The sequence below is a fragment of the Homo sapiens genome, chromosome 1 (assembly GCF_000001405.40).
Source record: "Homo sapiens chromosome 1, GRCh38.p14 Primary Assembly".
Taxonomy (NCBI): domain Eukaryota; kingdom Metazoa; phylum Chordata; class Mammalia; order Primates; family Hominidae; genus Homo; species Homo sapiens.
This window is the reverse complement of record NC_000001.11, coordinates 75,452,570-75,466,642: the sequence shown is the minus strand read 5'-3', so window position 1 is coordinate 75,466,642 and position 14,073 is coordinate 75,452,570. Positions and strand designations below refer to the sequence as shown.

Genomic DNA, 14,073 nt, shown 5'->3' with positions numbered 1-14,073 from the left:
GAACTGTCACCCAGGCTGGAGTGCAGTGGCACAATCTCGGCTCACTGCCACCTCCACCTTCCAGGTTCAAGCAATTCTCCTGCTTTGGCCCCCCAAGTAGCTGGGATTACAGGCACCTGCCACCACGCCCAGCTAACTTTTTGTATTTTTAGTAGAGACAGGGTTTCACTATGTTGGCCAGGCTGGTCTCAAACTCCTGACCTCGTGATCCGCCCACCTCGGCCTGCCAAAGTGCTGGGATTACAGGCATGAGCCACCACACCCGGCCAGTGTGTTCTTTCTATTTCTAGTTGTTTGAGGATTTTTATCATGAAGGATGTTGAAATTTATCAAATGCTTTTTCAGCATCAATTGAAATGATCATATGGGTTTTGTCCTTCATTCTGTTAATATGATATATCACATGGATTGGCTTACGTATGTTGAACCATCCTTGCATCTCAGGGATAAATCCCATTTGGTCATGACAAATGGCCTTTTAAATGTATTGTTGAATTTGGTTTGCTAGTATTTTGTTGAAGATATTTGTGTCAATATTCATCAGAGATATTGGCATGTAGTTTCCTTTTTTTGATGTCTCTTTTTCTGATTTGGATATAAGAGTAATACTGGCCTCGTAGAATGAGTTTGGAAGTATGCTCTCATCCTCTAATTTTGGAATAGTTTGAGGAAAATCGATATTAGCTTTTCTTTGAATGTTTGTAGAATTCAGCAGTGAAGCCATTGGGTGCTGGTCTTTTCTTTACTGGAAGACTTTATAACAGCTTCAATCTTGTTACTTGTTATTGGTCTATTCAGGTTTTGGATTTTTTCCTGGTTCAATCTTGGTAGTTTGCATGTGTCTAGGAGTTTGTCCATTTCTTCTAGATTTTTTAATTTATTGGCATATAGTTGCTCATAGTAGCCACTAAGGATCTTTTGAATTTCTTCAGTATCAGTTGTAATATCTCCTTTTTCATTTCTGATTTTATTTATTTGGGTCTTCTCTCTTTTTTTCTTAGTCTGGATAAAGGTTTGTCTATTTTGTTTATGTTTTTTAAAACCAACTTTTTGTTTTATTGATCTTTTGTATTGTTTTCTTCATCTCAATTTCCTTTATTTCTGCTCTGATTTTTATTATTTCTTTTCGTCTACTAATTTTGGTTTTGGTTTGCTCTTGCCTTTCTAGTTCTTTAAGATGCATTGTTAGGTTGTTTGAAGTTTTTCTTCTTTTTTTGGGTAGGTATGTATGAGTACTGCTTTTGCTATATCCCATAGGTTTTGGCATGTTGTTTCCATTATCATTCGTTTCAAGAAATTTTCAGTGTTCTTAATTTCTTCATTGGCCCAATTTCCTTCTTAATGTCTTCATTGACCCATATCCAGGAGCATATTGTTTAATTTCCATGCATTTGTATAGTTTCCAAGATTCTTCTTGTTGTTGATTTCTAGTTTTATTCCATTGTGTACAGAGAAGATGACTGATATTATTTCATTTAAAAATATTTTAAGACTAGTTTTGTGACCTAACATAAGGTCTGTCATTGAGAATGATCCATGTGCTGATGAACAAAAAATGTGTATTCTGTAGCTCTTGGATAAAATGTTCTGTAAATATCTATTAGATCCATTTGGTCTATAGTGCAGATGAAGTATGATGTTTCTTTGTTGATTTTCTGTCTAGAATATCTGTCCAAGGCTGAAAGTGAGGTGTTAAAGTTTCCAGCTATTATTGTATATTGTACTGGGGCCTCTCTCTTTCTTTAGCTGTAATAATATTTGCTTTATGTATCTGGGTGCTCCAGTGTTGGGTGCATATATATTTAAAATTGTTATATTCTCTAGCTGAATTGACTCCTTTATCATTATACAGAGACCTTTGTCTCTTCATATAGTTTTTGTCTTGAAATCTATTTTGTCTGATACAAGCATAGTGACTCCTGCTGTCTTTTGGTTTCCAATAGCATGGGATATCTTTTCCCATCCCTTTATTTTCAGTTTATGTGTGTATTTTTTGTAGGCAACAGGTTATTACTTCTTTTTTTTCCCATCCATTCAGTCAGTATATTTTGACTGAAGAGTTTAGTCCATTTACATTCAACGTTATTATTAATAAATAAGGACTTCTGTCATTTTGTTCTATGTTTTCTGCTTGTTTTGTGGTCTTTTCTTCCCTTTCCTTCCTTTTAATGAAGGCGATTTTCTCTGGTGATGTGATTTAATTTCTTGCTTATTTTTTGTGTATCCATTGTATGTTTTCTGGTTTGAGGTTACCATGAGGCTTGCAAATACTATCTTATAACTCATATTTTAAGCTGATACCAACACTGTTTCATAAACAAACAAGCAAAAAGAAAACAAATAAAGACTCTATGCCTTAGCTTTGTCCTCCTGCTTTTTACCTTTTTCTTCTTTCTTGCTTTTTTTTTTTTTTTTTTTTTTGAGACAGAGTCTCACTCTGTCGCCCAGGCTGGAGTGCAGTGGTGCAATCTCGGTTCACTGCAACCTCCACCTTCCAGGTTCAAGTGATTCTCCTGCCTCAGCCTCCCGAGTAGCTAGGACTACAGGTGCATGCCACCATGCCCAGCTAATTTTTTGTGCTTTTAGTAGAGATGGGATTTCACCATGTTAGCCAGGATGATCTTGATTTCCTGACCTCATAAACCTCCTGCCTTGGCCTCTCAAAGTGCTGGGATTACAGGCATGAGCCACTGCGCCCGGCCTCTTGTTTCTATTTATATCTTATTGTGCTATGTCTCAAAAAGTTGTTATTGTTTTTGTTTGGTTCATTGTTTAGGCTTTCTACTTAGGATAACAGTAGTTTACACACCACAGTTACAGTGTTGTAATATTCTGTGTTTTTCTGTGTACTTACTATTACCAGTGAGTTTTGTAACTTCAGATGATTTCTTATTACTAATTAACATTCCTTTCTTTCTAAGTGAAGTACTCCCTTTAACATTTCTTGCAGGATGAGTCTAGTATTGATGAAATCCCTCAGCTTTTGTTTGTCTGGGGAAGTCTTTATTTCTCCTTTATGTTTGAAGGATATTTTCACCAGATATATACTATTCTAGGGTAAAAATTTTTTCCTTTATTGCTTTAAATATATCATGCACTCTTTCCTGGCCTGTAAGATTTCCACTGAAAAATCTGCTGCCCGACATATTGGAGCTCCATTGTACGTTATTTGTTTCTTTTCTGTTGTTGCTTTTAGGATCTTTTTTTTTTTTTTTTTTTTTTTGAGACAGAGTCCCGCTCTTTAGCCCAGGCTGGAGTGCAGTGGCACAATCTCGGCTCACTGCAAGCTCCGCCTCCCAGGTTCACGCCATTCTCCTGCCTCAGCCTCCCGAGTAGCTGGGACTACAGGCGCCTGCCACCGCGCCCAGCTAATTTTTGTATTTTTAGTAGAGACGGGGTTTCACCGTGTTAGCCAAGATGGTCTCGATCTCCTGACCTTGTGATCCGCCTGCCTCGGCCTTCCAAAGTACTGGGATTACAGGCGTGAGCCACCGTGCCCAGCCAGGATCTTTTTTTATTAATCCTTGATCTTTGGGAATTTGATTGTTAAATGCCTTGAGACAGACTTCTTTGGGTTAAATCTGCTTGATGTTCTATAACCTTCTTGTCCTTGAATATTGATATCTTTCTCCAGGTTTGGGAAGTTCTCTGTCATTTTCCCTTTGAATAAACTTTCTACTCCTATTCCTTTCTCTACCTTCTCTTTAAAGCCAATAACTATTAGATTTGCCCTCTTGAAGCTATTTTCTAGATATCGCAGGTGTGCTTCATTTTTTTAAAAAAATTCTGTTTTCTTTTGTCTCTTCTATGTATTTTCAAATAGCCTGTCTTCAAGCTCACTAATTCATTCTTCTGCTTGATCATTTCTGTTATTAAAAGACTGTGATGCATCCTTCAGTATGTCAATTGCACTTTTCAGCTCCAGAATTTCTGCTTGATTCTTTTTAATTATTTCAATCTCTTTGTTAAATTTTTTCTGATAGCATTTTGAATTCCTTCTCTGCGTTATCTTGAATTTCATTGCATTTCCTCAAAACAGCTTTTGAATTCTTTGTCTGAAAGGTCGCATATCTGTTTCTCCAGGACTGGTCCCTGATGCGTTATTTAGTTCATTTGGTGATGTTGTGTTTTCATGGATTGTCTTCATTCTTGCAGATGTTCATCTGTGTCTGGGCATTGAAGAGTTAAGTATTTATTCTAGTCTTCTCAGTGTGGGCTTTCTTGTACCAGTCTTTCTTGGGAGGGCTTTCCAGGTATTCTAAAAGACGTAAGTGTTGTGATCTAAGCTGTATTTGTTTTAGGGGGTACCCAAAGTCCAGTAACACTGTGGTTCTTGCAGACGTGTAGAGGTGCCACCTTGATGTTCTTGGACAAGCACTGGGAGAATTCTTTGGATTACCAGGCAGACTCTTGTTCTCTTCCCTTACTTTCTCCCAAACAAACAGAGTTTATATCTTTGTTCTGAGTCAACTGGAGATGGGGGTGGAGTGACATAAGCACCCTTTGGCTACTACCGCTAGGAATGTCCTGGGTCAGACCTGAAGCCAGCACAGCACTGGGTCTTGCCCAAGGCCTGCTTAACTACTCCCTGGCTATGGCCTATGTTTGCTCAGTGCCATAGGGCTCTACAGTCAGCAGGTGGCAAAGTCAGCCAGGCCTGCGTCCTTCCCTGCAGGATTGTGATTTTCTCCAGGACCCAGGAGGGTCCATAGGTGTTGTTTGGGAGCCAGGAACTAGAGTCAAAAACCTTAAAAGGCCATCTGATGTTCTATTGTACTTTCCATTTTTCCCTCCCCTTTCCAAAGGCAGAGGAGTCTTATCCCATACCCACCACCACTCCAGGCCATGAGGAGTACTGGCAGATTACTACCAATGTTCCCCCTAAGGCCCAAGGGCTTTTTAGTCAGCTTATTGTGAATGCTGCCTGGCCTTGGACTCACTCTTTAGGGTAGTAGGCACTCCTCTGGCCGAGAGCAGTTTCAGAAATGCTATCCAAGGGTTTGCTTTGTATTTTTATTGGACAGTGCTGGCCTAGACAGTAACTCAATAATGAGAATTTTATGTTTTCTTTTGCTAGGAAAGAGCTATTTAGTCACCGTGGCTAGCAAAATTTGGTGACTTGGTTGACTTGGACAAATGGGATCCTCAAAACACAATTAAATATATCTAATGTCCTGAGACACACCACTCATAATAATATTAATAGTTACTCCAGTGAACTAATAATATTATTTACCTCTTTGGATTTTATAAGGATTCAATTAAGATAACACGTGTGTGAAGGTTGTGACCTAAATAATATTATCTTACAGGGAGAAAGGTGCATGTGAAAATTGTCAGAGATGAAAATGGTTAGGGAACAATTTTAAAACTATTTTCATACCTGATGTATAGTAGTAATGTGCTCGATTATCTGTGGAATTAATTTGATCATCAGAGAAGAGATCTCTTTTGGTTTATGTGAAGACTTTGTATGCCAAAAGCATTTTTTGTGTTGCTATATAATCTTTGTAAACATTCTTGTAAATGGTGCATGACATTTTGTTTAATCAATATACCAGCCTTTATTTAACCATTTTCTTTTTCTCGGACATTGGGTTGCTTCCATTTTTTTTTTCACTATCATTAATATTATGGTGATATACATCTGTAAAACTCTCCCCATATTGTGGATAAATTTGCAAGGATGTCAGACTGATTTTAATGGAGATGAATTATGTAAGAATGGAAAACCATTCAAATTCCTGACTAAAAGTGAACAATTATCCAACTAGAAGGTAGTTGGATGTAAGTGATTTTCTTACCTGTCTTGCATTTCTAGGGTAGAAAAGATAAATGGAGAAAAGATTGGTTAAATGTTGACATGAGATTATTCCTATTGAGAATATTGGCAATAAAAATAGCAATAATATCAGTAGAGATTTGGGGGATATTTCAATTCCAATGTCTAGATCCCTTTTATTGGAATCTTGAATGTTGAGTTTTAGTCTCATTGAATAATTTTATCTAAAGTAGTCAAAAAGACTCTGAGATTGTCCCACAGCTGCATAAAGACCCATATAAATGACCAACATTACATGTGAATTAGTTTAAATCTACACAGTAGGTTTAGCAATACACCAACTTTGTTTGTAAATGGGCTTATATCTTCCAGTTTCATAAAACGTTTTTGGGAGAAAGGTTTCACTTTGTCCATGACTGTGCATCTGTAAACATTTTATCTTTAGAGCAGATGTTTAAAGCCCCAAAAGTTGAGTTTACATTTTGTGAAATATTTATTGTCTTAATCACATAGTTTCTGTACTGGTAGTAGGTTAGAAATTTCAATTCATTCCAAATAAAGTTGGGCGGAAGTAGGAAGGCAATGCCAAATTAAAGCAGAGTACTTTAATAATGATTCCTTTTAAAATAGGGCTTCTCATTATCATAACATTATAAACTCCATTTGTCCTCAGAGTTCCAGAGTTCAAGAGCTCCTACAGCAGAGCTCATTCATGTGGAGAGAACAGTGCAGAGAATGTATATATAGTGAGGCAGATTTGTATAGTTTATGTTCGATGTGTATATAGCCATTAATTTTAATATAGTCGCCCTTACTCTCAGGAACACCTGCTACCTGAACAATCCAGTTTTAAAACCAACTCTCCAAGAATTATTTCCTACTTCTTCTTCCTGGTTTTCAGGGCATTGCTTAAGCACTGCTTTGTATAAGATTCACGTGCCTCCTGTAGTTCCAACTGCAGCAGGAGGATTTCTTGAGCCCAGGAGTTTAAGGCCAGCCTGGGCAACATAGTGAGACCCTATCTAAATAATGATAATAAAAGTAATATGTTTTTAAGTTACAATTACCATTATATTGGTTGAACATTTGAAAGATTCTAGATGCTTTACAGACTATGACTATTGGCCTGCATTACATGCCATGAATTCTAATAATTGTGTGCTGATAAGATGACATTCTGGGTTTCAAAGGAAAGATATTCCATTTAGAATTAGAACCCCAGGGCTCAGGTGCTAACTATGTTACTTGGGCAAGTCACATAACTCTGAAAGCTACTGTATTTCCTTCTCGGGAAAGGGAGGGTGATAATAATTACCATACCTTTCTTGCACCTCACCAAATGAACAAACATCTGCGAGTGGTTGTCAGGTGCTGGGAATAGAAGGGGATCCTCTACAAAGGATCATATAAAAAGTTTTGGAGGATGAAAGTGCTTTATATGTTGATGATGTTGGTGGCTACATAGCTATGTACATTTGTCAAGGCTCAGAACTGAATGTCCAAAAAATGGATAAATTTTTACTGTATGTAAATTATACTTAAAAACGGAACTTTGTAAATACTAAATACTAAATAAATAAAGGCTATTATTTTTTCTTTCCATGGGATGTCAATTTCGTAAGACAGGCAATAGCTTTATAGTGACTATTAGAGGAGAGATGGTTCTTCCTTGTGCTTGGATTAGAGCAGACGTCCTTGTGACTCTTGAATCTTCATCTGGATAAATTATCTTTCTCTATCCTTGGGCCAAAAAGAATGAAACTTTTATTAAAGTGATTTCTCCGGGGCACTATCCCTCACCAATATCTTTTTTCACTCTCTGAGCTCATCCATTCTTCTGGCTTTAGTTATTCTGATGGGGTTCAATTCTCTATCTCTTACTTGAACCTCTTTCTTGAACTCTAGATCCGTATTATTTTTGTATGGAAATTCCACAGGCATCTTCAAACTCATTATATTCAAAAACAAACTCATTTTTTCCACCAGTTCCTTGCTTTTTCTCATTAATTCTTCATATGTTTATTAAGTGCACACTTTGTGAAGGCATTGGGTTAGGCACTGGAAAAGCAAATAACATAGTTCTTTCCTTCATTAAGATTATAGACTAATATTAATAAATATACTATAAATTAAGCAAAGTATAAGAGATATTCCCTTCCTTAGTTTTTGTGAAAGGTAGATAGTATCCTTGATTCCTTTTCCCTTCATTTTTTACATATTCCCAATGAATACATTCTTCTGATTTTGTCTCTGTAATTTTTTTCTCAAGTTTATCTCCATCACTCTATCCTTCTGTAATGTAACAACCTTTGATCAAATTATCACAGTCTCTTTATTGGGCTATTGTAATAGCATTTCTGATTGTCCTTCAATCCTCCAGGACTGTTTCCCTCAAACCTATCATGAGTGATCAGCCTAAACTGTATGTTTTTTCCTAATTGAAACTCTTCAGTAATTCTATATTATCTGTAGGATACAGCTCAAGATTCTTAGCAGGATGTTAATTCCCCTTCAATAGTCAGCTCATTCCTTTCACTTTAGTCTCATGACCAAACCATTTCTTCATGCTTTATGCCCCCAGAAACACTGAACTACTTATGTTTGGGTGAGATCTCACACAACATGCCATTTATCACCTCCAAGCCTGCACTTGTAAAAATATTTACTGGAAATACTTTTTCTAACTTCTGTTTCACCATCCTCTGGTTATCTTGTTCTCATTCTTTAAGGCTTGGCTAGGATTCATCTTTCCTGACTTCTGGGGTAAGTTAGTGTCATTCACTATGACTTAGCTTATCATACAATATTGAAATTCTCTGTTTATGTGCTGGGCTCATTTACAAGATTGTAAACTTATTGAGGGTAAGGACTGTGTCTTAGTCTTTGTATCCTCAGGGTTTGACACATGCTACAAGGAATGTGGTCCTGATTTTTCTCCAACCACATTTACTTCCACTTGTTTCTCCCTCCGTTGTTCCACCTCAGTGAACTTTTTTTTTTTTTTGAGATGGAGTCTCACTCTGTTGCCCAGGCTGGAGTGCAGTGGTGCAATCTCAGTTCACTGCAACCTCCGCCTCGCGGGTTCAAGCTATTTTCCTGCCTCAGCCTCCCTAGTAGCTGGATTACAGGCATGCGCCTCCATGCCCGGCTAGTTTTTGTATTTTGAGTAGACATGGGGTTTCATCATGTTGGCCAGGCTGTTCTCAAACGCTTGACCTCAAGTGATCCACCCACCTCGGCCTCCCAAAGTGCTGAGATTACAAGAGTGAGCCACTGCACCTGGCCTCGGTGAACTTTTTATAATGCCTTGAATATTGCACAACCTAGCTTCCAGAGAGCTTATAGGATGATGTTCTTCCACAGCCTGGAATACTTTTTCCCCTGTTTCTCTGTGGGGTTAGTTATTATTATTCTTTAAGACTGCAGCTTGACTTAAGCATGTCTTCCTTTTGGAAGGCTCTGTTTTTCTTTCCCATGATGTTAGGATAGATCAGAAGGTTCATTTCTGTTTTTTTAAAGCATCTTCTGTGATTGCAATACTATTTATGCTAATTGTCTTTTTGGGTTTACTTGTCTTTCTCCTCCACTTGGGACTTCTGGTGTCTATCACTGTCCCAAGCATACGGTAGGCACTTGATAAAGCTTTTCTTTCTTTAAAAGAAACATTTTTATTACTGCATTAACAGGCGAAAGAAAGAATTAAAATTTTGAGAACCTTGTATATTCCTATCACTATGTGCTATATGCTTACCTACATAGTATTTGAATAAAAGTAGTCACGGGCAAGAGGCTTAGCAAACAGAAAGCCTTTGCAGTTCTATAATCTTAGATCTGTGCTTCCTCATGGGCTTGGGGAATCGATATTATTTTCCTCCTGTGTGTTATAACAGGCTGTTTCTCCCATCAGAAAATGTGTGGACCTATTGGGGATGTCCGTAGATAGTTTTCTTTTGGTAATATTCTCTGCTTTATTTGGAGAAGATGTTATTTAAATACACTATAAGGTGCTTCTTATAACTGTGGCAAGCATTCTCTTGGGAGTGTGAAGCCACAGAATAAGCAGGCACAACTTTCTAGTATATTAACATTTACTCATGGCTACAGATAGTTCTAGTTAAAGATGGTGGAATAAAGGCATTTTAATGCTACTTTCCTTTTAGAAATTCTTAAAAACAATAAAACAAACAAAAAGCCCTCATTCTCTCACAAATCCCCAAAGAATAAAAACCTAAGGAAGAAAACTCCAAGTGAAAACAGAACAGAAATACAATTATTAAGACTATCAGCCAAATGTAGTGAAATTTGGATCAAATATGTAAGACTAATTGGGAGCCAAAATAGCTTATTTTTTCAACTTTTATTTTTGATTCAGGGTCTACAAGTGCAGGCTTGTTACCTGGGTATTTTGTGTGATGTTAAGGTTTGGAGTACAAATGTGATCCTGTCACCCAGGTACTGAGCATAATGCCCAATAGTTTTTCAACTCTTACTTCCCTTTTTTCTCCCTACTTTAGTAGTACCCAATGTTGACTGTTGCAGTCTTTATGTCCATGAGTACCTAATGTTTAGTTCCCACTTGTGAGAACATGCAGTGTTTGGTTTTCTGTTCGTGTGTTAATTCATTTAGGATAATGGCCTCCAGCTGCTTCCATGTTGCTGCAAAGGACATGATTTCATTCTTTTTATGACTGTAGTATTCCACGGTATATATGTACCCATTTTCCTTGTCCAATCCATTGTTGATGGGTATCTGGGTTGATTTCATGTCTTTGTTGTTATTAATATGCTGCAGTGAACAGGGAAGTACATGTGTCTTTTTGGTAGAATGGTTTATTTTCTTTTGGATAAGTACTCAGGTAATGAGATTGCTGGATCAAAGGATAGTTCTGTTTTAAGTTATTGGAGAAATCTCCAAACTGCTTTCCACAGTGGCTGGACTAATTTACATTCCTACCAAGAGTGTTTAAACATTCCCTTTCTCTGTAGTCTCACCAACATCCACTGTTTTTTTGACTTTGTAATAGTAGCCATTCTGACTGGTATGAGATAGTATCTCATTACGGTTTTGATTTGGATTTCTCTGATGCTTAGTGATGTTGACAATCTTTTCATATATTTGTTGGCCTCTTGTATGTCTTATTTTGAGAAGTGTTTGTTCATGTCTTTTGCCTACTTTTCAATGGGGTTATTTGTTTTTTGCTTGTTAAGTTAGTTATTGATTCTGAATATTAGAATTTTGTTGGATGTGTAGTTTGCAAATATTTTCTCTGATTCTGTAGGCTGTCCTGTTTACCTTGTTGATAGTATCTTTTGGTGTGAAGAAGTGCTTTAGTTTAATTAGTTCTCACTTGTTAATTTTTGCTTTTGTTGCAATTGCTATTGAGGATTTAGTCATAAATTTTATCTCAAGGCCAATGTCCAGAATTGTTTTGTCTGAATTTTCTTCTAGGATTCTTATAGTTTGAGGTATTATATTTAAATATTTAATCCATTTTGAGTTAAATTTTGTCTATGGTGATATGTAGGAGTCCAGTTTCACTCTTCTGCACATGGCTAGCCAGCTATCCCAGCACCATATATTGAATAGAGAGTCCTTTCCGCATTGTTTATTTTTGTTGACTTGCTGAAGATCATATGGCTTTAGGTATGTGGCTTTATTTCTGAGTTCTCTATTCTGTTCTATTGATCCATGTGTCTGTTTTTGTACCATGCTGTTTTGGTTACTACAACCTTATAATATAGTTTGAAGTTTGGTAATGTGATGCTTCTGACTTTGTTCTTTTTGCTTAGAATTGTCTGGGCTATTTGGGCTCTTTTTGTGTTCCATATGAATTTTAGAATAGTTTTTTTCTATTTCTGTGAAGATGATAGTGTGATAGGAATAGCATTGAATCTGTAGATTGCTTTGGGCAGTATGTTCATTTTAATGATATTTATTCTTTCAATCCATGAGCATGGAATGTTTTTGCATCATATCTCTATGATTTCTTTAGCAGTGTTTTGTAGCTCTCCTTGTAGAGATCTTTAACCACCATGGTTGGATGCATTTCTAAATATTTTTGTGCTATTATTTTAATTAAAATTATGTTCCTGATTTGGCTCTCAGCTTGAATATTTTTGATGTATAGAAATGGTACTGATTTTTGTACATTTATTTTGTATCCTGAAATTTTACTGAAGTTGTTTATCAGGTCTAGGAGCCTTTTGGGGGATTCTTTAGGGTTTTCTAGGTATAGAATTATATTATCTGTGGGGAGAGAGTTTGACTTCTCCTATTTGGATACTTTTTATTTATTTCTCTTATCTGATTGCTCTGGCTAGCACTTCTAGTTCTATTTTGACTAGGAGTGGTAAAAGTGGGCATCTTTGTCTCTTTCAGTTCTCAAGGGGAATGTTTCCAGCTTTTGCCTATTCAGTATGATGTTGGCTGTGGGTTTTCATAGATGGCTCTTATTATTTTGAGATATGTTCCTCGAATGCCTTGTTTCTTAAGGGTTTTAATCATAAAGTGAGGTTGGATTTCATCAAAGCTTTTTCTGCATTTATTGAGATGACCATATGTTATTTTTATTTTTAATTCTGTTTATAAGATGAATCACATTTATTGATTTGCGCATGTTGAACCAACTTGTATACCAAAAATGAAGCCCACTTGATCATGGAGAATTACATTTTTTAATGTGATGCTGGATTCATGTTGCTAGTGTTTTGTTGAGGATTTTTATATCTGTGTTAATCAGGAATATTGGCCTATAGTTTTCTTTTTTCGTTGTGTCCTCACACACATTGGGATCAGGGTGAGGATGGCTTCATTGAATGAGTTAGGGAAGAGTCCCTCTCCCTCAATTTTATGGGATAGTTTCAGTAGAATTGGTAGCAGCTCCTCTTTGTATGTCTGATAGAATTTGGCTGTGAGTTCATCTTGCCTAGGGCTTCTTTTCATTGGTAGCTATTTCATTACTGATTCGATTTCAGCACTTGATATTGATCTGTTCAGGATTTCAATTTTTTCCTGATTCAATCTTGGGAGAATGTGTGTTTCAAGGCATTTATACATTTCCTCTAGATTTTCTAGTTTCTGTGCATAAAGGTATTCAGAATAGTCTCTGAGGGTCTTTTGTATTTCTATGGGATTGGCTGTAATGTCATCATTGTCGCTGGTGATTGAGCTCGTTTGTATCCTCACTCTATTTTTCTTTGTTCATCTAGCTAGTGGTCTATTGATCTTGGGTATCCTTTCAAATAAGCAACTTTTGGTTTCATTGATCCTTTGTATCAATTTCAAAGGGTCTCAATTGGGTCTCAATTTCAATTAGTTATTCTCTGATTTTAGTTATTTCTTTTCTTCCGTTAGGTTTGGGGTTAATTTGTTCTTGTTTTTCTAGTTCCTCTAGATGTGATGTTAGATTATTAATTTGAGATCTTTCTAACTTTTTGATGTAGGTGTTTAGTACTGTAAACTTTCCTCTTAACACTACTTTTGTTGCATCCCAGACATTTGGTTATGTTGTGTCTCTGTTTTCATTTTATTTCAAAGAATTTATTGATTTCTCCATTACTTTAATTGCTTACCTAGAAGTTATTGAACAGCAAGTTGTTTAATTTCTATGTAATTGTGTGGTTTTGAGAGATCTTCTTGGTATTGATTTATATTTTTATTCCACTATGGTCTGAGATAAAGTATGAGTTCAGTTTTTGAAAATTTATTGAGACTGCTTTATGATCAAGAATGTGGTCCGTCTTGGATTAATTTCTGTGTGCAAATGAGAAGAATATATATTCTGTGGTTGCTAGATGGAGTATTCTGTAGATGACTATTAGGTCTAATTGGTGAAGTGTTGAACTTTTAGTCTAGAATTTCTTTGTTAGTTTTCTGCCTTGATGGTCTGAATAGTGTTTTTGGTGGGAAGCTGAAGTCCCTCACTATTATGTGGCTGTTTAAGTCTTTTCATAGGTCTAGAAGTACTTGTTTTATGATTCTGTGTGCTCCAATCTTGGGTGCATATAGATTTAGGATAGTTACATCTTCTTGTTGAGTTGAATCCCTAATAATTTTGTAATGCCCCCCTTTGCCCTTGTTTGTTGCTAGTTTAAAGTCTGTTTTATCGGATGTAAGTGTAGTGACCTCTGCTCTTTTTTCATTTGGATGATAAATCTTTCTCCAACCCTTTACTTAGAGCCTATGGGTGTCATTACAAGTGAGATAGGTCTCTTGAAGGTAATAGACAGATGTGTCTGGTTTACTTATTCAACTTGCCACTCTTTGCCTTTTAACTGAGGAATTTAGACTA

General features: G+C 36.5%; 1 protein-coding gene across 11 annotated transcripts in view; it reads left to right on the top strand.

The window, feature by feature from the left end:
* Positions 1–14,073, top strand: part of SLC44A5 (solute carrier family 44 member 5) — a 521,887-nt gene that overhangs the window by 257,373 nt on the left and 250,441 nt on the right. The window lies entirely within an intron of this gene.